The sequence below is a fragment of the Homo sapiens genome, chromosome 1 (genome assembly GCF_000001405.40).
Source record: "Homo sapiens chromosome 1, GRCh38.p14 Primary Assembly".
NCBI classification, from domain to species: domain Eukaryota; kingdom Metazoa; phylum Chordata; class Mammalia; order Primates; family Hominidae; genus Homo; species Homo sapiens.
In genome coordinates, this window is record NC_000001.11 from 53,131,735 (window position 1) to 53,155,591 (window position 23,857).

Genomic DNA, 23,857 nt, shown 5'->3' on the forward strand with positions numbered 1-23,857 from the left:
AGGTGCTGACAACACAGAGTTGAATCTAGGCAGAGTAGCCTCGTTAACTTTGCAAAGCTTACAGCCCAGTGGATAAAGAAACCAGTTAACAAGTGAATGCATATAGAATGACAACATATGATATGTGCTGTGGCCGGGAGGGAACAGGGTACAGTAAGGGAGAGCCAGGGTGGCATGAAGGGGTTGGTGGGGAGGGCCTTCCTAAGAAGATGATGTGCAAGTTGAGATGGAAAAAAAGAGGAAGAAGAAGAGATGTAAGATGTTGGGGAAGCATGTTCCAGAGGAAGGAACAGCACGTGTGGAGGCCCTGAGATGGTAAGGGCTTGGTCTGCTTAGGGAACTTGAGGCTGGTGGGACTGGAGTATGTGACATGGGATGAGGTGGGGTGGGCGAGGCAGATCATGCAGGGCCTCCTAGACCAGGTTAATGGTCTGCAGGTTGATTCTACATGTCATGGAAGCTGTTGAAGGTAAATGAGGGGCAGGGCCCAATCTGCTTTTCTCAAGATCCTTCTGGCCACTGGGTGGAATAGATGGGACGGGGACAAGAAGTGAGGCGAGGAGACCAGTGAGGTGGCGGTGGAGTCTGGACGTGAGAAGAGAGTGCCCGGGCCTGTAGGGTTGGGAGGAAGCTCCATTCTTCGACTGAGTAGGCAGAATCCACTGGAACTGTGGATGGGGCTGTGGGGTTGAGAGAAAGAGGATAGCCAATGACAGGCCCGATGGAAGACCTGGGTGATGGAGCTGCCATTTGCAGACAAGAAGAAAACAGGAAAAGGAGGCAGTTTTCTGGGTGGAACTTCAAGTTGGTGACATTAAACTTGAAGTGTGGCTGGGCACGGTGGCTCATGCCTATAATTCCCGCACTTTGGGAGGCTGAGGCAGGTGGATTGCTGGAGCTCAGGAGTTTGAGACCAGCCTGGGCAACATGGTGAGACCCCGCCTCTACAAAAAATACAAAAAATAATTAGGTGTGGTGGTGTGTGCCTGTGGTCCCAGCTACTTGGGGGGCTGAGGTAGGAGGATCACTTGAACCCAGGAAGCCGAGGCTGCAGTGAGCTGAGATTGTGCCACTGCACTCTAGCCTGGGCGACAGGGCAAGATCCTATCTCAAACAAAACAAAACTTGAAACGTTTGTGAAACATCCAAGTGGAGATGTCAAATAGGCAGTTGGTTAATGAAGTATGGAGCTCACAGGAGAGGTCTGGGGAGATCTCCATCTGGGGGCATTGGGCTTGTAGGTGGTATGTTAAAGCTATGAAATTAGATGAGAAAAGGCTGGAGAAGCTGAACATTTGGAGGTTGAGTAGAAGGAGAGAGACCAAGATGGAGGGGCAGAAAGCAGGCAAAAAGTTAGAAGAGTGTGAGTCCATAGGGAAGGGCATTTCATGAGGGCAAGAGTAATCAGCTGCACCCATGGCTGTGGAGAGGCCGTGTGGAAGAACTGGACGTGTCGTACAGATTCAGCAACACAGAGGACTGCTGACCCTGACAGATTCACAGGCTCAGTGAATGACTCCAAAGATGCAGAAAGAGGAGACAGTCACTAGAGTGAGTTGAGGAGTCAGGGAAGGCTTCCTGAGGGAGGTAGCATTTCAGCAGAGCCTTGAAGGCTGAGTCCTGAGAAATTTAAATGCTGCTTGCAAAGGCCTCTGTGCAGAAAATACAAAGCGCCCTTGGCCTGGGGATTATCTCCACTTCACAAAGGGGGGAGGTCCAAGGAGCTGGCTCACTGCTCAGCAGCAGGGAGGCTGGGAGGCAGAACGCATGCAGAGGCTCATCCTCTTTCCTCTCTGCAGAGGAGTCCTGGAAGATGAAGATTTCTCATGGCCTCAGAGCAAAAGGCTCTTAGACACCACCTGGAGCAGCCACTCATTATACATCTGGAATACTCAAGACCTGGACAGGGATAGGGTTGCTCAAGTTCACCTAGCACATCAGTGAAAGGGACCAAGTGATCTCCCATGATTTCCATGGCCCGCACCCTACTGGGTAAGGTCTGAATTCTTCAGCCTGGTGTTCAAGGTCGTTCATGATTGGGCAAGAGCTCACCGTCCAAATTCATCTCGCACCATCCCGCCCTTGTCCCCAAGTCCCAACCTCCTGAGTGCTCAGCATACACAACATATAGTCTTCATGACAACCCTTCGAAGTAGGTGTTGTTATTCCCATTTTACAGATGAGGAAACTGAGGCGTAGAGAGGTGAGGTAATATGTCCAAGGTTACACAGCCAAGCCAGGCTGTGATCACTGGAGTATCCTCAGAGTTAGTTCTCTTTTCCCCAGGCCTTGCTGCATTACCATGAACAGCCCCTCCTCTGGGAAGCCAACCCTCAACTCCCTGGCCTTGAGCTATCTTGGAGTCGGGTCATATCCGTTGATTCCAAATCACCTGTTCTATCCACTAAAAATTCTACTGGATGGAACCAACAACTGGGGCCACTGAATGACTCAGAAGCCGGCAGCCCACGGCACTGCCCATAAAGGCCCCACGGTCACACTCATCCCAGGGCCTGTGGTTGCTCTCCAGCCACCCACAGCAGGAGCAGGGCAGCAACAGAAGCCATCCTCTACCCTCCTGGTTCCGGACCACCTGGTCAAACCCCCGCTCTCACCTGGAGACCACCAGTGGCAGGATCATCATCTTCAGCATCCTCATCAGGAGCTCTCCAGGGAACTGGAAGTAACTAATTTCCTGAAAACACAGTAAGAACTGGGGTTATAGCAAGAGATGCAGACTGCACAGTGGTTCCGTTCTTCACAGTCTTTGAAGCACTATCCCATCTGACTCCCCTGTCTAGCACATGGCAGCAGAGACCATGGAGAAAGAACTGGCTTTGGAGCCACAGAACTGGGTTCCAATCCTGGTAAACACCCCGCCTCCACCAATCCCCCACAAGCTGTGTGGCCTTAAGCATCTTCTGTGACCACTCTGAGTTTTGTATTTTTCTCATCTGTAACATGAGGGTAATAACTACAGTAGTCCCTACTTATTCTCAGCGGACAGGTTCCGAGACCGCCAGTGGATGCCTGAAACCACAGAGACTGAACCCTGTGGACGTTGTTTTTTTCCTATATGTACATACCTACGATAAAATGTAATTCATAAATTAGACACAGTAAGAGATTAACAGTAACTAATAATCAAATGGAGCGATTAGAATATACTGTAATAAAAGTTATGTGAATGTGGTCTCTCTTAAAATATCTTCCAGTACTGTTCTCACCCATTTTTCAGACCATCGGTAACTGAAATCACAGAAAGCGAAATGGCGGATAAGGGGGGACTGCTCTGCCTCACAGGGTCATTGGGGGGCTTAAACGGGAGAATGCACGCAAGCACTTAGCACAGCGCCTGGATGACAGCCAATGTTTGGTAATCCTGAAAATAACAGCTCTCCTCCATCTGCACCACGCATCTGCCTAGCCATGGAATAAAATCTCTCTCGTGTAGCAGATGGCAGGTGACCAGAGGACAGAGCCGAGTACTGTTCATGCATTCATTCAACCCGCATCGTGCCACGCATCACAGTGGGTACCCCAACATGAACTAGGCAGGGTTCCTGTCCTGAGAAGTTCCCAGCCTAGCTGGTGAGGAGACCCACTCCTAAGCAGACCATGGCCGCCTTGCGAGTCAGTTTCTCCATCTGTTTTGGGTCCATTCTCTAGTGCTTCTCCTCGAAAATGCTGAGAGAGAGAGGATCAGATTGAATGGGTGCAACACCACGCGGTAGAAACAGCCCCCTTTGGCAGAGTTCTTACGCCTGACCCCTTCCTAGGCCGCTGGCTCCAGCCTGTCCACGGATCTCTGACTAAGGCGCCAACTCCTTGCCCAATAAGCTGTCTCGCAAGTAACAGTCACGTGACCAGGACCTGACAACTGAAGCAGAAGGGCTGCTAAGCCCAGTTAAATCAGACTTTCAGATAACAACATATAGTTCATTCTTATACTAAAAAAAAAAAATGCTGTTTATCTGAAACTCCAGTTTAACTGGGTGTGCTGTTTATAAAATTTTTTAACTTAATTCAGTTCTGCTACTTCTGGCAACCCTGGCATGGGGCCACTTTCTTCAGAGGGTGAGGTTGTGGGCGAGGCAGGCAAATGGACTTTCAAACATCATCCAAGTTGAATTGTTGTACTTGCAACTATTTTTTTTTAACCAAAGCCAAACATACTCGGTTGATGATCTGATGCTTTAAAAATCTCCAAATCATCAAATGTTGGTGCTATGAGGGGACTCTTGAGATCTTCTAGCCCAGCCCACTCATGTGATAGATGAGGAAGCTGAACCGCAAAAGGGAGGTGACAGACCCACCCAATGTTAACCGCAGCACAGGACCAGGACTGCTAACATTTCCAATGCACCAGAAAATCTGCTTTTTAAAGAAATATGCCCATCATGACTCTCTCTCTCTCTATATATATATATATAAAATAATATATATAATTATATATTATATATATATATTTTTTAGACAGAGTCTTGCTCTGTCACCAGGCTGGAGTGCAGTGCAGTGGTGCCATCTCGGCTCACTGCAACCTCCGCCTCCCAGGTTCAACCAATCCCCCTGCCTCACCCTCCCAAGTAGCTGGGACTACAGGTGCGCGCCACTATGCCCGGCTAAATTTGTGTATTTTAGTAGAGATGGGGTTTCACCATGTTTGCCAGGATGGTCTTAATCTCCTGACCTTGTTGATCCGCCCGCCTCGGCCTCCCAAAGTGCTTGGATTACAGGCGTGAGCCACCATGCCCTGCCAACAATATATTTTTAATTAACTTTAGTCCATATATTTATATAAACATATATATAATATATATAAACATATATATAAACATATATAATATATAAACATATATAATATATAAACATATATAATATATATAAACATATATAATATATAAAAACATATATATATTATATATATATATATTTTTTTTTTTTTTTTTTGAGACAAGGTCTCATTCTGTTACCCAGGCAGGAGGGCAGTGGCATGATTTCAGCTCACTGCAACCTCCACCTCCTGGGCTCAAGTAATCTTCACACCTCAGGCTCCCGAGTAGCTGAGACCACAGATGTATGCCACCAAGCCCAGCTAATTTTTGTATTTTTTGTAGAGACAGTGTCTCACTATGTTGCCCAGACTAGTCTCAAACTCCTGGACTCAAACAGTCCTCCCAGCTAGGCCTCCCAAAGTGCTGGGATTATAGGTGTGAGCCACTGCACTGGCACCCACATGTATATATTCTTTAAGTTAAAAGTGCTCTAATAGCCAGGCTCAGTGGCTTATGCCTGTAATCCCAGCACTTTGGGAGGCCAAGGTAGGTGGATCACTTGAGGTTAAGAGTTCGAGACCAGCCCAGCCAACATGGCAAAACCCCATCTCTACTAAAAATACAAAAATTAGCTGGGCATGGTGGTGCATGCCTGTAGTCCCAGCTACTCAGGAGGCTGAAGCACAAGATTCGCTTGAACCCAGGAGGCGGGGATTGCAGTGAGCTAAGATCGCACCACTGCACTCCAGCCTGGGCAACAGAGGGAGACGCTATCTCCAAAAAAAAAAAAGTGCTCTACTGATAAAAAGGCAGCTCTTGCCTCACCTCTCTCTATCCCTATCTTGCAACTTCCCAGTAGTGAACATGCTCAGTTCTTCTAGCTGTTTCCCATAGTATCACTATTTCTAGATAATATGGTCATAATGCTATTTCTTGATTCATCATTTTGACATCTATCAATTTCCCTGCCATGATTGATGAGGAGTTAGTTCTTACTCCCTTTCTCTCCACCTATTTCAGCATTATATTTATATCAATTTTTTAGTAAATCAAGATTTACAATGTTTTGATCGCCAAACAGTGTTTACCATTGAGCCAAGTAATGTACTACAACCATGTCTCCTTGCTTGTAGCCTAAAGTTAATTGACTGATTTTTATTTGTCTTGTTTTCTGGGAATCACCCACTAATTTCTTCCAAACATTTTAACATGTCTACTAAACTACCTAACAATAGTATTTTCTGCTCTCTCAAGCACATCAGTTCTCTTTTATCCTGCCTGGGGCCTTGGTCTGTGAGCTTTCCACCTTCCTGCTCCAGTTTGGACTGACTGCTCTCTAGGCCCAGTGCTTGTCATGGTTTCCTTCTTGGTTGTCATTCTGGGACTTGTCCTTTAGAGGGCCCCCTGTTTCTGGGATCCTTTGTCCTCTTGGTTTACTTCCTTGTTTTGCTGAAACATCTCCTTTGGTAGCTTTCTGAGAAAGAGTGGATGGGAGATAAACTTTTCTGAGTCCTTACATGAGTAAAAATGCCTTTATTCTACCTTTACCTCTGATATTAGCCTGGCCATGTGTGAGATACTTCGTTGGAAATAATTTCCCCTCAGGTTTAGAAGGTGTTTCTCCCTTGTCTTCTAGCTTCCAGTTTGCTTAAGATGTTCAAAGCCATTCTGATTTCCTGTTCCTTAGATGAGGTTGGTTTTATTCCACCAGAACCATCCAAAGATCATCAGTTTATCTCCACTTTTTGGTAATTTCATGGTGATGGGCCATAGTATGGGGTTTTCTTTCTTTTGTAAACAAAATTGACAGTGCTATGCTTGCCTTTCACTTCTGAGAAACTGCTTAGATTCTCTGCAAACTGTTTCTCCTCTATTTTTCTTCTGTTAGCTGTCTCTAAAAGTGTCATTAGGTAGCTGGACATTGAACATTCTAATTTTCTTATATTTTCTTTTTCTATTTTCATTTATTTTTGTTCTAGTTTCTGGGAGATTTCTACAACTTTATCCCAGTTATTGACATTAATTTTTTTTTTTTTTTTGGAGATGGGGTCTCACACCATGTTGCCCAGGCTGGCCCTGAATGCCTGGGGTCAGGCAATCCACCCGCCTTGGCCTCCCAAAGTGCTAGGATTACAGGCATGAGCCACCAGGCCTAGCCAAAGTTTTTATATTAATATATAATATTTGTACATATTTATGGGATACAGTTGGTATATTGTTAAATACACTGTGTAATGTTCAAATCAGGGTATTCAGGGTCTCCAACACTTCGAGTATTTATCCTTTCTATGTGTTGGGCAGCTACTCACATTTTTATCTTAGTTCTTCTATTTTTAATTTCCCCAGATTCTTTCTTGTTCTCTGATTGTTCCTTCTTTTCACATCCCCTCTGTTGTACGGTAACTATATCTTCACTCGCAGCTCCAGAAAGCTTAAGAGGAGATTTACAAAGCTTCCTTCTCCTCCCCGCCTTGTCTCTGCTTCACTAGAGACCCACTTTTCTCTTTGTTTCTCTCATTAGAGACCCCCTTTTCTCTTCGTTTACTCTGTTTCACATTAGGAGCCTCCTCACATTTCTGGTGGCGTGGCTTTCTGCTCGTATGTAAGTTTGAAGCGCTAAACTTCTGCATGTATGAGTAGGGTTTGTCAACTGACGGCCCTCAGGGCAGGGTGACAGGTGCTGATCTGGCTTTTTCACTGGGGCTGGGTGGGATGGTAGAGGAGTCTCCTTTATAGCAGAATTTAGAGATCTTTTCTCTGAGGCCTCAGTGAGAGAAGTCTCTTCCTGCCTTTGGCTGAGGAATGACATGGTGCCTAAGCTCAGCTGACAGCGATCTGAAACCGTGCTGGGGACCCCACTCAGACAAGGATGTCTGTTAATTAGTTTGAAGTAGGTGCCTCAGCATGGCCCTCTCCCCAACACACACAGGGGTGGCCCAATACCCTCAAGTCCAGCTTCTCTGGTTCCTTGGGGCAGGCAGTGGGTGGAGATGGGTGGATGAGTCCCCCAACTGAATTGGAAGGTCCCTAGGGGTCTAACTGCTCTGGTTACAAAACTCCAAACCATGCCCAGGCTTTCAACCCCAGCCTCACCCTGCCTAGTGCAGCATCTTGCTCTGTTACGTTCTGGAGTCTGCAAGACAAACTGACTTGGTATCAACTTCCACAGACTAAGATTCCAGCTTTCTGTGAATGAGGTCATCAGCTCCACCCACCTCCATATTATCTAATTTGTTGTAGCCTCTCTATTTCTTTTTCTCAACTGTCTCCTTTTATATTCTCTTTATTCTTGGTGGTTTTACCTTTTAAAAATCCCATTACTAAAATGTTAGTGGAATTCTAGGAAGGAGGGAAAAAAATGGATACACCTGTGATTCACCATGGTTTAACTGGAAGTCTCAAAATGCTCAGTATTTTTAAATGAGACACTCATACACCAAGATAAAATCCTGTGATTTTATCAAGGATAAAAGTTCTTTTTCACAAATAGAACATTCTACCATTTTCCATATTGTTTATGATTTTTGCCTGTTGCATAAGCTTACAAAACAAGAAGTGTTTAGTTTCTGAGTCACAGGCAAAGAGATCAAACAGAGAAATCCCAGATTTCAAAGTAAGATGCTGAGAAAGCCAGTTTCTGCCAAATAATTGTTCTAAGCCTCTACATCCTTCCTTCAATTTATCTGGCAGGTTAATCCAGACTGGAATACATTTGCATTTCCAAACAGATGGGAAAGGCAGCTTTGGCAAAGTAGGCCCCAGATGAGTTTGGCTTTTAATAATAGGCATTCCAATTTGTTTTCACAAAATAATCTTCCTGCAGGAGATATATTTTTGTTGCTGAGGAAAATTAAAGAGAACAGATTGCAGATTTTTTTGTTCCATTGCCAGTTTAATGCAGCAGATAGTTGAGCGTTCTCTCTGTGCCTGACACAGGGCTAGGCTCACGTTTTGGTTAAAAAAAAAAACAAACCCATATGTTGTTCAGCAATATGCAGCTTGGTGGGAGAAAGAGACACCCATATAACCAGCTCTGAAGCCAGGCAGCCAGCAGCGGGGTTACAGTTACTTTCATCAGCTATGGATGATGAGATGGTTCCTGATGTAGATAGGACTTTAACAGGTACATAAGGGAGGGAGGGGGAAGTAACACGTAGTAAGCACCTACTGTATGCTGGGCATTGATGAATCCTTGGTTTATTCCTCATAATAATTCTAGTAGACATATACTGCCCCACATCCCATTTTACAGACAAGGAAACTGAGGCCCAGGGAGGAGAGAGGATATTGCCTAGCCATTTGCTAGCAGAGTCAAAGTTCAGGGTTTCTCTGCCTCCAGAGTCCATGCTTCTTCCTAAATAACTGCTCGAGGCTTAACAGGGTCACTATAGTCGTGGCTCAGTTCTCCAGGAGTGGGTGTTTTCCTTTTAATGGAAGACAAAGTCTAATGCCTGACCCCAGTTGTAGAGATGGCATTAGACATTAGTGAGCTGCGGGAAGAGGACTTTCTGGGAATAGGGACTCTTCCAGGAGCCCATTGACAAAGCCTCTCTCCTTGACCACACTTTAGACAGGCTCCTCTGAGCCCTCTTTTCCACTGGGCTTTGTCCTTGGGCCTTGTCTTCAGCCTGCATAGTCCAGCTGTAGCAAAAGTCCTGCCAAGTCAGTTTAGTGAGGATCCCTCACCCTCCAGCATCCTGATACTGGATCAAATTCCTCATCCCAGATCAATGTCTGATCACCCTGGCCTGCCTTCAACAAGAATCCCCCTACCCTGATGTCTCCTGTAGTCATTTTCTGTCCCCGACCCCCTCCCTCTGCTCGCTGGCTATAAATCTCCAGCCATCTTTGTTGTATTTGTGGTTGGGTCCCATCTCTCTCCCCAGGAGGTCTTGATAACTACCCCCCTACCACAATAGTCCTGAATAGAGCCTTCCTTACCAGTTTAACTAGTGGCAGAATGATTTTGTCCTTAACACCATGGGAATGTCCCTCCCTCTCCTGTAGGAGATGGGGGCTGACAGGGAAAGGGGCTCTTTCCCAGGAAACGCAGCTTCTTCATGGCAGTTACACAGGCTGGAAACCCGGGGCCTGGCTCCCCTTCCTGTCCCCCAGCCCACATCCAATCGGCCCCCACATCCTGAAGCTCCCCCTTTTGAAAACAGTTCTCACGTCTGTCCCTTTTGTCTGCACTGCCGCATCTCCCCCAGGCTGCCCCTTCTCGGCCCCCTGCCTGCCCCAGAATCACCCCCTCTCCACTCAGCACCTGAGGGGTCTCCCAAGCTCCAAACTGGCCTGTCGCTCTTCTGCCCAAAAGCATCTCATGGTTGCCGCAAGCCCACGTGTGGCGATGGGACCTATGGGCCTGCTGGCCTCTGCGCTCCGGCCGCTGCACCTGGCATCTGCTGTCACCTCTGCCTAGAGCACGCTTCCTGGATCTCTTGTCATTTGAGCAGCCTTTAGGAGGTGTTCTCTGGTGCCTGTTTGAACTCACACAAGACCCCCCTCTTTCCCCGCCACAGCTCTTGGCCCTGTGTTTGTCATCATGAGGCACCCTCGCCTCTCCTCACCTGATGGTGCTGGGTTTGTAATCACTCCCCAGCCACATCACTGGTTCTTCCCTCTAGTCCTGCAAAGTGTTTATCACACCCATGTTACAGATGAGAAAACCAGGACCCAGAGAGGCAGAGGGATTCACACACTGTCATGGCACCAGGGAGCTGTGATGCTAGAACGGGACCCCAGATCCCTCAGGCCCACACGCCCCTCCTGGACAGGGGTCCCGAGATGCTCTGGGTGGCTGACCTGTGGTGAGAGGCGCCGGGTCCTCAAGAAGAAGCCGAGGAGGCAGCCCACGATGACAGACAGCACAGACAGGATGAGGAGTCCATTCCGCCTGCACACGTCCCTCCCCCGTGCCAAGATGGCATGCGGCACCATGGTGAGCCTGGCCTGCTGGCAAGGGGCACAGCACCATTCCACGCATGAGAGCCCGGCCGGGGGCACAGGGTCTGGGCTGAGGGCTCTAGCCCCTCAGCAGGCAGGTGGTCGGAGTTGCTAAACACCAGTCGCCAGCCCCACGGCCATGCCCGTGTGGCCGCCTTAGAGGGAAGCCACAATCCTATTACCAGCTGCATCATTAGGAGCTGGGAGCAGATTAGGGCCTGGGAAATTAGAGCAGACCACGTGGTCTAGGAGTTCAGGCCTCAAAGCCAAGCGTTCCTCTTAAACAGTTGAGTGGACCAGGTACTGGAAGGAACAAGAGGAACATTTGCTTGGTTGGTTTGATCTTTACCCCTGCTTCCTTCCAGAAAGAATCAAAAACAAGACAGTAAGATATCAGTTTCCCTCAACATTAATTAAGCATTTACTATGCACCAGGTGCCATTCTAGAAGAGTGTTACATGTACTGGCATATTTAATCCTAACACCAATCCCAAGAAATAAGTACTATTAATATCACCATTTTACAGATAAAGAAACTGAGGTGGGTGGGTGCATGTGCTGCGGGCCAGGCCTGTGCTGGCTGCCTTAGCTATGCCAATCATAGGGAATTGTCCCAAAGATCCCAGGGTTCCCACCTTCATTTTTCAGAAAGGGAGGCTGAGACCCCAGAAGCCAGTCCCTTGGCCATGGTCACAGAGGTCAGAAGTCAGGGCTAGGCCAGTCTGTTTCCACCACATGAACAGGCAGATAGGTTCAAGGGTGCTTGGCAGTATTGTGGGGAATGTAGATTCGAGTCCAGGGGACCTGAGTTCAAAGGTGGGCTGTGCCACTCACCGGGAAATGGGACGTAGATGCTTCAGGGCTGTTTCAAGCCTGGTGCTGGGCACCCTGCAGGCTCTCTGGGCCTATTATTTTTTAAAGATGACAGAGCCCAAGAGACCCACATTCGGGTCCCAGCTCTGCCACTTACTAGCTGTGTGACCTCAGACAAGCATTTCATCTCACTGTGCCTCAGTTTCTCCATCTGTAAAATAGAGATGATAACAGCATCTACTTTGTTAGGGCTGGTACAAAATTCCACCCAGAGGGTATTTGGAAACGCAGTGTGAACCCTGGTGTGCTGAACAGGGGAACGGACTCTTAGGGTCATTATCACACTTAGTGCTTTGGAGAATAGGTGTCTTTTTGCTATTTCTTGTGGCCTGGCCTGCCCTGCCCTGTAAAGCCTGGGGGAATTAACCCTCGTCTATTTCACCAGAGATCTGTAATCTCATTAGGAGCAGTCAGGCAGCAGGCAGCAGGGAATGGGAAGTGCAGTCTGCAGTGAGGGTGGGAGGTAAAGGGTGGGGTGCACACAGGGGCTTCCTCCTCCTGACATAGGAGACAGGGGCAGAGGATGAAGAGGACGGGCCAAGTGGGGCATAGGGGAGAGGTGGGGAGAGGGGACTGGGGCACAGGCTCTGAAGCCATGGACAGAGCTCCTGACTGAGAAGATTCTGATCCCAATTTAATCAGCTCTGTGACCTTGCCGTCTCTGGGTATCAGTCTTGTCCTTTTTAGAATGAGAGAAATGGGCCCAGGTACCTTTGTCAAAGGAACTTCATTTCAACAAACCAATCTTCCAAAGCCCCTGCTCTTTGCAGTAGCTTGGGGTGGGGGGTGGGGGTGAATACAAGTCTGAGAGTTTTTTTTCCTCTGACTTTGACTCTTAAAACCAAAAGTTTCTTGCTACACCTTCAACTCCAACAAATGCCTCATTTTCCAAATAATCAGGTGGTTAGTTACTTCCCAGAAGAGAAAATATGCTAAGTAGGTATTTGGATTTGGGTTTTGATCAACTCCTGGGCTCAAACAATCCTCCCATCTTGGCCTCCTAACGTGTTGGGACTGCAGGCATGAGCCACCACACCCAGCCCAGACCTGGCCTTTAGCTGTGCCATGATATAGGTGAGTCTTGCTTTCTACCACAGCTCCATGACTCCCATTCCCAGGACGTGCCCTATAGCCACCACTGACTCCTCTCTCCCACAGGCTGAGCCTACCACTACCTGCCTACCAGACTACAGCCATTCTTTCCACTGTTCCTACGGTCTTCAACAGGAGAATTTCAACTCACTCTAGCAAATGTTCTTATAGCACCATTTAGTGTGCCACACCCCCTGGGTACTAGAAACACAACAGTGAATCAGACAGTACCTGCCCTGCCTTCAGGAAGCTTATAAGAAAGTGGAGAGACCCCAAGAACGGACTAATTCACACTAAAGTGTAAGTGACTGATAATGAGTTTACTAAGAATATTTGCAAATCAAATCAAGTCTCCTGGGTCAGAACCCTATAATAGTTCACCATTGACAAAGAATCAACTGCCTTTTACAATGTCACTAGATGTGCAAGACAATTTTTCCATAATTACATCAAAAGGAAGTTTGGGAAATGCTGGACGAAACAAAAAGTTAAGCACGTTATTTCCTCTGAGACAGCTCAAAGTCAGACTGCTAGAGTTAAAACCTCAGCTCTACCTTCAACCAGCTGTGTGACCTTGGGAACATTTCTTAACTTCCCTGTAAAATGGGGATAATGCAACAGTACCTAGATCATAGGGTTTTGATGTGGGTCATACAGTGCTGCATGCGCCATGGTTAGAGCGTGGCCCAGTGCCTTGCAGATAGCCCCAGGTAGTTACTATGAAAGTCTTTACAGTAGCGGCTGTGTCGGAGGAAGTCACCAAGTGGAGAATAGAGAATCCCACCCCTCCTCTGGAGCAGAGAACTCCCTGGGCCTGGTGTTTGGAGAACACGCCTGGGAAACCCCGGTCTGCAGCATCGAGTCTATGCTCCCCTGCAAGGCACTTTCACCCTTTTCCTCACCCTTTCAGCATTACCTCCTACTCCTTCCGTCACCCCTCCAGCTCCTATGACACCAAACCACTGCAGGGTCCTGGAACGCTGCATCCTGTCTCAGGCTTCTGCACCTTTGCCTGTGCTATTTCCTTGGCCTAGAATGTCCTTCCTTGTCACGAAAGTTACAGGTTAAATCCCCCTCTTCTTCGAAGCCTTCCCTGATTACCCTAGATACAATACCTTCTCTTTTTCTCACTCTAACTCAGGCCCTTCACAGTCACCAGCTGGGGATTCACCTAGCTCCCTTTTAAGTGGCTCTGACAAGGAAATAAGAATCTATGAAAATAAAATCAAATCTCTGTTTGTTACCATGTCATTTGAAATCACCTCAATGGAGAATCCTCAAAGTTGGAGGGTATATTGGCAGGGGCAGCGGGGTGCTAGGGATAGCCTGAGGAGCAAGGTGTTGTATAATGGGCAGCAGGCGGCCTCAGAGATGCTTCTGGGGAGGCTTGAGCTGGACAGACTGAGATGCTATGGCAAAGAAGAGACATGGTGTTGGCGAAAATGAACGCCAAGTCACAGGTGCAGCTGCCTCACCCTGCAGAAGCAGGTGTGCAGTTGAGCTGTTCTTCACCGGGCCCTCTGCTTGGGTTATGCTGTGGGGAGAGCAGCAGGGGTTGACTTATTTGCTAATGATTAATGATTAATGATTCGCCAGGGCTACAGGCAGGGCCAACCCAGCCTGGGAAGGCGGGGATAGGAAGGCTTCCCAGAGGAGACGTGGTTTAGGCAGAGGCCTCAATAAGCCAGGGAAGGGGGTGCTGGTCAAGGGAGAGGGGAGACGACAGTCTGATTTAGGCCGGAGGCGTGACAGCAGGGCCTCCCAGGGCTAGCAGTGCATCGGTGGGCTGCAGTGGCCATCGGGGCTGGGGCCTTACACCTTCCACCATGTGTCAAAATGAGTTTAGGTCTGGCCGGGTGAGCTCCCATCTGGGTCTGTCGTGACGACAGCTCGGGGTATGTTGGCTGCTTTCCAGAGACATACCAGAGGCGCCTTAATCTCCCTGACACGTCTTCCCAGCTCGCTGGAAGCTGGGCCCTTCCGGGAAGGTTTTCTGTGGGCAACAAATGCAGCTGATCCAGCTGGGTGTGGATTCCTGCGAGCTTTAGTCACCGAGGGGCTGTCCTGACCTCGCTGAGGGCTAGTCCTTTCCCACATTTGCCTCAGAGGATGGGAGAAAGTGACTCTGTGGTGGCAACTCAGACACACGCCTTCCTTTTTCCCTTCCAGTCCCCCGTCTAAATCTGTCACTTAATGGAAATGAGGCCTGGGCGCCCATAAGCCCCTGAGCCGCTCTGTGTTGAGCACCGACTGTGTACCAGGCTCTGGCTGGGTACTCTGACACCTTCACCTAGAAGGGCCCTGACCAGGGGGAGCCAGGGACCCCTCCACATTCACTGGGTCAGTCAAGCCTGGGGGCTCTAAGTCTGTGCAGTACAATTACATAGCATCCATTACACTACTTAAATTGAAATTAATCAAAATTAAATAGGACCAGGCCCAGAGGTTCATGCCTGTAATCCCAGCACTTTGGGAGGCTGAGGTGGGAAGATGGCTTGAGCCCGGGAGTTTCAGACCAGCCTGGGCAACATGGGGAGACCCTGCTTATACAAATAATTTTAAAAATTCACTGGGCATGGTCGTGTGTGCCTGTGGTCTCAGGTACTTCGCAGGCTGAAGTGAAAGGATCATTTGAAGCCTGGGAATTTGAAGTTGCAGTGAGCCGTGATGGAACTGCACTCTATGCTGGGCAACAGTGTAGGATCCTGTCTCAAAAAAAAATTTATATAGTTTAGAATTCAGTCCCTCCGTTGCACTAGCCACATTTCAAGGGCTCAATAGCTGTATGTGGCCAGTAGCTACCATGTTGGACAGCACAGTTAGAGAACGTTTCCATGATCACAGAAAGTTCTACTGAACTCTCTACAGTCACCCTGAACCAAATTCAAAGCTCAGCCTTTGGCTTGGAAGGTGTGCGACTTTGCCGAAGTTAGCGAACCTCTCAGAGCCTCTTTTCTGTGCCTATAAAAGCCCATGCACTTTCCATTGCATCATACTTCCTCTCATTTGCATATAAAAGTTAGGACAAAGTATAAAGTTAAACCCTCCAGCCAGTTTAGATTAGGTTTCCAAATTAGTTAGGATTTTTGTTAATAAATACTAGGAAACTAAATCAAGCTGGCTTTGGTTAAAAGGGAATTTATAAGCAGGGCTGACTGTGTAATTTGTGAGGCCCACTGCAAAATGAGCACGTGGGGCTCTTCTTTCCAAAAGCAGGAAAAAAGTGCATCAAAGGTACTAAAATATATAGCTTTATTTCTTCCACAGTTTCTCTCTCTCAACTTATCATGATGTTTTTTATTTGTGATTTTGTCATTCTTAAGTAAATAAAAATAACAATTTTAAATTAGTAGCATTAACTTTATCATTCACCTTTTTTTTTTTTTTTTTTTTTTGAGCTGGAGTCTTACTCTGTCACCCAGGCTGGAGTTCTGTGGCTTGATCTCAGCTCACTGCAACCTCTGCCTCCTGGGTTAAAGAGAATCTCCTGCCTCAGACTCCTGAGTAGCTGGGATTACAGGCGCACACCACCACGCCCGGCTAATTTTTGTATTTTTAGTAGAGATGGGGTTTCACCATGTTGGTCAGGCTGGTCTCGAACTCCTGACCTCAAGTGATCCGCCCACCTTGGCCTCCCAAAGTGCTGTGATTACAAGCATGAGCCACCGTGTCCGGCCCTTCATCTTCACACTCACTGTGCAATGCCAGTTTTAAATGCAAATATAAGAGCATTTAACTCACATGCAGAATCACCAAAGTTATACAGTTTGTATTTAGTAGCTCATACATGCGTGTGTATTTCATTTTTTGCCAGATGGTGGAAATGCTGCACAAAACTAATCCAACTGTTTTTATTTCACTTCTCAATGCATATCCATTCCATCTGTCCTCTCTACCTTTGACTCACTGATGAGTAAGGAAGAACTGGAAAGAAAAGGAACTCTGGTGGTCCTCTCATTCCCTTGCTGTTGATGTTATCACTTTCAGTGTTTAAGTAGTTGGCTAATGCAGGTGAGTAACACTAGTAAGAAAGGATATGATAAAATTCCTTGGTCGTTTGCATTTTTAGAATGCAATTTTTTGTTCTTCCTATGTTCGAAACAAGTTCTGGTTTGAGGAAAGTGAGGCTTCTCGTGAGTCTTGGTGCCTCTGCTTACTTAGCTGTGGACATAACACACTTACCTGACACCTATTTGAGTCTTGCTGAACTCCCATGCGTTGCCAGTTTACCAGAACTCTGTGCTCATGGGACATTACACACGCTGTATGAGGATGGAGTGGCAACTACCAGTGGCGGCATGTATATTGGACGTGTTTTTTCTGTTTGTGTGTATACTCTATTGTCCCATCAGACTTTGCTTATAAGACACAAGTTCAAAGATAAAATTATTAAGAATTTAGTGACAGTGACAACAGAGCATTAAACCAAGCACAGGGGCCCTTCTGAGCATGGGGCCCTGTGCTACTGCGCAGATCATAGAACCAGGAAACCGGTCCCATTTATAAGACCAGGTGAGCATGGGTTTTGCAGAACCCAAGGACAAGAGCAGAACTGAACTGCAAAGACCCTCTGAACCAGGTACTTGATTGTTAATGGAATTATCTCTCACACCAGCTCTCCTTTCTACATGTCTGATTTGTCCATTCATTCTTCATTCAACATATATATGTTGAGAGGTGGCATAAGGTATTGATTAAGAGCACAAACTCAGGAACCAAATGACTTGTGTTTGAATCTTAGCTCCTTCACCTACTCTTTTTGGAACTGTAGGCAAGTTACTCTGTGTTCCAGTTTTAGTTTTCTCATATTGAGTGTAGGGATAATAATATTCTACCTTATAGGGTTGTTATAAGGAGCAAATGAATTACATGTATGAAGCTTAAGACAGTTGTCTGATCATAGTAAGCACTATCTATCTATCTATCTATATCTATGTTACTATTATTACTATGTGCCAGACATATTCCGGACACTTGGAATACTGTAATAAACCGAAATAGACAACAATCCCTGCTTTTATAGAGCCTACATTTGGTGATGACATTTATGTTACATTATTCTTTCTCTAATGAACCCATCTCCACTACTACTGTGGTCCACAGGGAGGAAGCATGGCCACCAGCAGCTCTGTTTCACTCCAGTGCCACAGTTCTCAGGGAAGGTTCTGACTGGCCCAGTTTAGACCAATCTCCTGCAGCCAGTAGGGGCAGGGAGCAGGGTCACATTATTTACAGTTGCTGCTTCTATGGTAACTCTGTAGATGTGTGTAGTAGCAGTTAGAAAAGTGGATACATGAGGCAGACACAGCAAAATATCTAGTACATTGTCCCAGGCACTCAGCTCTTGGCATGGCTTGCTTAGTAAAACCTTGGTTTTCTGTTCTTTCTTGTGTAAAATGCCTAACATCTTATATCCAGTGAGGCTGCTCTAGAACTTAGGGTCAGTGGCTCGAGGTTCCTTGTTGCTTGTCTTCTTCTCTGATGTCTGCCTCGGCCCTTTATGGCAGCAGGCACCTGGGGCCTCACCCACAGAGTGCACAGGATTCACCAATGTTGTTGAGTTGTTGATTCATCAATGTTGTTGAAAAAATGTTAATTTTCTTCTCTGTGATATAGCATTCCATGATATGAATGGAATATTATATATAAGATACTGTTTATGAACGTTTGTGGTTTTTTTTTCCAGTTTTTGACCATCATTTTAACAACGCTGCTAGAAACATTCTTGAATACTAATGTACATGTACAAGAGTTTCTCTAGGATATATACGTAGCAATAGAATTGCTAGGTCACAGATTATGCAGATGGTCAACGTTAGTAGGTAATAACTGTTTCCAAATTAGTTTTACCAACTAATATGTTCACCCACAATGTCTGTAAGTTCCCATTGTTCCGCATGGTTACTGACATTTGATATTGATTAATTTTTAACTCTTGCCAATCTGGTAGGTGTGAAATGGTGTTCCATAGTGGTTTAAATTTGCATTTCCCTGATTAGTGAGACTGAATATATTGTCCTATGTTTGTGAGTCATCCATGCCTCCTCTTTGGTGAAATTGCTGTTCATTTGCCTATTTTTAATTGGGTTGTTTGTCTTTTCACATACATTATAAATATTCTTTATATAATCTGGATATTAACTCTTTATTGTTTATATGTGTTTTCCTGTTTATGACTTATCTGTCTTTAGATAAACAGAAGTTCTAACTTTTAATGTAACTGAATCTATCATTCTTTTTTGTTATGACTTGTCTCTGTCTTATTTTAAAAACCTCCCACTCCAGTAAAGTTATTCTTCTGTGTAAATTTCTAAGAGTAGTTTACTTTTCCTTTTCTCATACAGGTAATTAACTAACCTGGTTAAAGACTGATGTAAGAGTCTAATATCCCGTTTTCTTTAAGATCTACTAATTGTCCTAGTATCACATATTGAAAAATCTATCCTTCCACCTGAAACTAAAATGGCTGCTCTGAAATAAAATCAAGTTCTGTATATGTCTGGGTCTGTTTCTGGGTTCCCATTGGTTGGTTTGTCTATATCTTTGTCAATACCACTCTTGTCTGGATCACTATAAGTTAATGATAATTTTTGATACTTTGCAAGGCAAGTCCTATCTTTGTCTTCTTCAGGAATGTATTAGTTTTCACTGGGCATGGTGGTTCACACCTGTAATCCCAGCACTTTGGGAGGCCGAGGTGGGTGGATTGCCTGGGGTCAGGAATTCAAGACCAGCCTGACAAACATGGTGAAACCCCGTCTCTACTAAAAATACAAAAATTAGCAGGGCATGGTGGCGCATGCCTGTAATCCCAGCTACTTGGAAGGCTGAGGCTGGAGAATCACTTGAACCTGGGAGGCGGAGGTTGCAATGAGCCGAGATGGCGCCACTGCACTGCACTCCAGCCTGGGCAACAAGAGCAAAACTCTGCCTCAAAAAAAAAAAAAAAAAAAGGAATGTATTAGTCTTCAATAAAACGTTTTAAAGGAAAACTTGTCAAGTTCCAGAAAAAAATTGAGATTTTTATTGTAATTGCATGGGAACTTTTAAATCAATTTGAGAGAATGAACATCTTTATGATATTAACTCTTCCAATTTGTGAACATATCTTTCAATTTATTTAGATCTTGTTTCTATAGTTTTATTTTGCTCCATAAAAGTGTTGAATAACTTTTTAAAGATCTATTCTCATATATCTTATTTTTATGCTACTGTAAATAGCGTTCTGTTTTATTGCATTTTCTGTTTTTTGCTATAGACATAAAATTGATTATTGCACCTTGATTTTTTTCTTTTCTTTTCTTTTTTTTTTTTGAGACAGAGTCTTGCTCTTTTACTCAGGCTGAAGTGCAGTGGCTCTATCTTGGCTCACTGCAAACTCCGCCTCCTGGGTTCAAGGGATTCTTCTGCCTCAGCCTCCCGAGTAGCTGGGACTATAGGCATGCGCCACCATGCCCTGCTAATTTTTGTATTATTAGTAGAGATGGGGTTTCACCATATTGGCCAGGCTGGTCTTGAACTCCTGACCTTGGGATCTGCCTGCCTTGGCCTCCCAAAGTGCTGAGATTACAGGCGTGAGCAACCGCACCTGGCCTGCACCTTGATTTTGTATTCTGTTGACTGACTATATTCTCTTAATCTTTGGGGTTTTCTATGTAGATAAGCATATCATCAGCAAACAATAATAGCTTTGCTTCTTCCATTTCAATCCTTACACCATATTTTATATATGTATATTATATATGTATATATGTTATGTATTTTTTATTTGTTGCTTGCTTGCTTGTTTGTTTGTTCACCTTACAGCCCTGGCTGAGCCCTCTAGCACAAAACTGAATAAAAATCATGATGTGAGGCACTCAGGTCTTGGTCTTGATCTTAAGAGGAATGCTTTCAACATTTTACCATTAGTATTGCCATTGCTATAGGGGGTTTTTGCCCATGCCCTTTATCAGATTAAGAACGTTCTCTTTTATTCCTAGTTTGTTAAAAAGGGGTTTTGCTTTTTGGTTTTTTGATGTTGAATTTTATTTTATTTATTTTTATTTTTTGAGACAGGGTCTCGCTCTGTCACCCAGGCTGGAGTACAATGGCATGATCATAGCTCACAGCAATCTCCACCTCCTGAGCTCAACTATCCTCCCACCTCACCCTCCCAAGTAGCTGGGACTACAGGCATGCGCCACCACACCTGGCTAATTTTTGTAGAGACGAGTTTCACTATGTTGCCCAGGCTGCTCTCACACTCCTGGCCTCAAGTGATCCACCCACCTCAGCCTCCTCACGTGCTGGGATTATAGGCATGAGCTACCGTGCCCTGCCAGATGTTAAATTTTTGTCAAATTATTTTTCTCTTTTAATTTATTAATGTGGTGAATTATATTAAATAACTGTGAAACATTGTAACAATCTTGTATAACAGAAATAAACACAACTTGGCCATGATTTCTTCTTCTTATTGTTATCATTATTTTTATTTAAACGTGGTTGCTTTATATTGCACTTTTAAAACTCACAAAAAGCTTTACAATATCTGCATTCCTCTACTTAATCATCAAAGCTTTATGGTAAGACAATGAAAATTTTATTTCATCAATTGGGCATACTAAAAAACAATGAAAAATTAACAAACAAATCTCCTTAATCAAGAACATTCCGTAAAATACACACTCTGGCATGCGTCTGAATTCATCCCTCCTAAAATTAGACTTTAAAAGGCTTTAAAAAAAATCTCAAACAGATTTCAATACTGACTAGCCTACCAGAACAAAGCTGATAGCAAGCTATAAACAGCTTTCAATGTTGAATGTAATTTGGGGGAAGTGGAGAAGAAGAAATTATCTGCTGAACCTACATTTAAGTGCATCTGTTAGTAAGACTTCTCTAATTTAATGAATTTCAACAAAGTGAACAAGTTCTTTGCCTTTGGTAGTTTCTCGGATTTTATTTTTAAACTTGTGACATCTTGACTAAAGGAATGGAATCCTGGGACTAGAATATTTAAGGAAGAGGACAACATTGAGGCGGGAAAGAGGAAAAATAAGATTAGTACTTTCTTAGATAGCTAAAATGGGTAACAAATAATCCCAGCTACTCAGGAAGCTGAGGCAGAGAATTGCTTGAACCCAAGAGGCAGAGTTTGCAGTGAGCCGAAATCACGCCATTGCACTCCAGCCTGGGCAACATAGCGAGATTCCATCTTAAAAAAAAAAAAAAAAAAAAAAAGAATACCAGAGTTGATATGTAGGGTTTAGTTTGACTTATGTTTTTAAAAAATTAGATAAGTATAACATCTAAATGGCAAATAGAACAATTAAAGATGGTCTCATTTAGGAAATGTTAAAAACTAATTATCCTCAATTATGTTTTAAATTTGTGGAATGACATAGCAGATATTTTGAGCATCATTATAGGATCCAATTAAAATTATGCATACTGCTATTTTCACTTTTTTTTTTCGAGATGAGATCTTGCTTCTGCTGCCTAGGCTGAAGTGCAGTGGCACGATCATAGCTCATTGCAACATCAAATTCCTGGGCTGAAGCGATCCTCCCATCTCAGCCTTCAGAGTAGCTAGGACTACAGGCACATGCCACCATGCCCAGCTAATTTTTTTTTTTTTTTGGTAGAGGCTGAATCTCACTATGTTGCCCAGGCTGGTCTCCAACTCCTGGCCCCAAGCAATCCTCATGCCTTGGCTTCCCACAGTGCTGGGATTACAGGTGTGAGCCACTCTGCCTGGCCTATTTACACTTTTTTTTTTTCTTTTTAACCCAACTACTCAACGTGGCATATTTTCACTTTTAATATAATTTATATATACCTGGGGAAGCTCTTTTTGATATTATCAGTAGAGGCCACTAAAAATAATGCCAGAATTCCAGTGAGAAGAGAGTAGAAATGGAAAGAAAATGGGAGGATAAAGAAATTGGGTAGTAATAAGAAACAGGATTTTTAAGGTTTTCTCACTAGTTAACTAATGCCACAAAATTGCGTATTTTGGCTCAATGTCAGTGGGCTGCTGGAAGGGACCAGGAAATGAGTGCAATATCCTAACCATCCCAGGTAGATTCTTAACTAACCCATGATTTGGATGGCTCACTTGTGAAGGGAGTGCTTTGGCCTCCTCGCTTCCTTTCTTCCTTTTCCTTTTTTTATTTTTTTTTTTTGAGACTGAGTCTAGCTCTTGTTTCCGAGCAATTTTTGAGAAATCTCAACTTTAAAATATCCCTCAAGTTGCCCCCTTTCATTAGTCTTGTAAATAATATTGTTTAAGACTCACACATTGGTGAGAGTCAGGAATTATTAGGATTATTTTAATAGCAGACATTGAGTTCATTTACTTGGAAAGAAAAATTTTATTCCGAGGTGACTTTCAGAGATTTAAGTGCTCTATTTTACCATTGAATGAGAATTTTTCTCAAAGCAAATATTCTCTAAGATGCTAGAGTATTCAGCTTATTGGGATAGTACCCTTTAACTTATTAAAAGTTACAAAGTCTAAGAAAAAGCATGCAAGTCTTGAGAATCACTGCTGTGAATTCTAACAGGGAGGGCCTGAAGCCTGGAAGCCTGGCTGACAGTCCTGCAGACCAGAGTGGGGACTTGTGGTGCCTCTTCCAGTCTGCCCATGGCCGCCCATAGACCATTTGGCATGTACTTCCTCCCCTCTGAGGTCCATAAAAGCCCTGGGATCAGCCAGAGAAGGGCAGAGGATGGAGAGGACAGAGAGATGACTGGCGACTGGATGATCAGCTGCAGAGAGGAGCTGAAAGCTCCTGCTGAAAGCTGGGAAGCCAACCGGGACCTGCCTTCAGAGAGCAGCCACCCTCTCCAGGGCCTCCTGTCTGCTGAGAGCTGAACGCTGGATGAGACAACCTGCCTACAGAGAGGAGCTGCCCGCTGAGGGTCTCCTCTGAACTGTCCTAACACTCAACAAAGCTTCTCTTCGTCTTGCTCGCCCTTCATTGTCTGAGTACCTTATTCTTCCTGGATGCAGGACAAGAACTCGGGCAAAGGCACCACTGCCCACAGAAGTTTCTGGCCAGAAAAGTGACACCCCAAAGATCCCGTAACACTATGAGATGCAAAGACTACAAATGTTTAAGTGGAATGATCTCTAACCTGTAAATTACACTCCTGTAACAAGCAAATGATTACATACTGTGGAA

General features: G+C 45.0%; 1 protein-coding gene across 5 annotated transcripts in view; it reads right to left on the minus strand.

The window, feature by feature from the left end:
• Positions 1–10,904, minus strand: part of SLC1A7 (solute carrier family 1 member 7) — a 55,456-nt gene extending 44,552 nt beyond the window's left edge. For all 5 annotated transcript variants that reach the window (NR_109858.2, NM_001287597.2, NM_006671.6 and 2 more), the window contains exons 1-2: positions 10,581–10,904; positions 2,616–2,695 (exon numbers count right to left, since the gene is read on the minus strand). Coding sequence is in view for 4 of the 5 variants with exons in the window: in NM_001287597.2 (NP_001274526.1) it covers positions 2,616–2,695; positions 10,581–10,715 (215 nt within the window). In the remaining variant the exon portion in view is untranslated. The remainder of the gene's footprint in view (positions 1–2,615; positions 2,696–10,580) is intronic.
• Between the last annotated feature and the right edge of the window lie 12,953 nt (positions 10,905–23,857).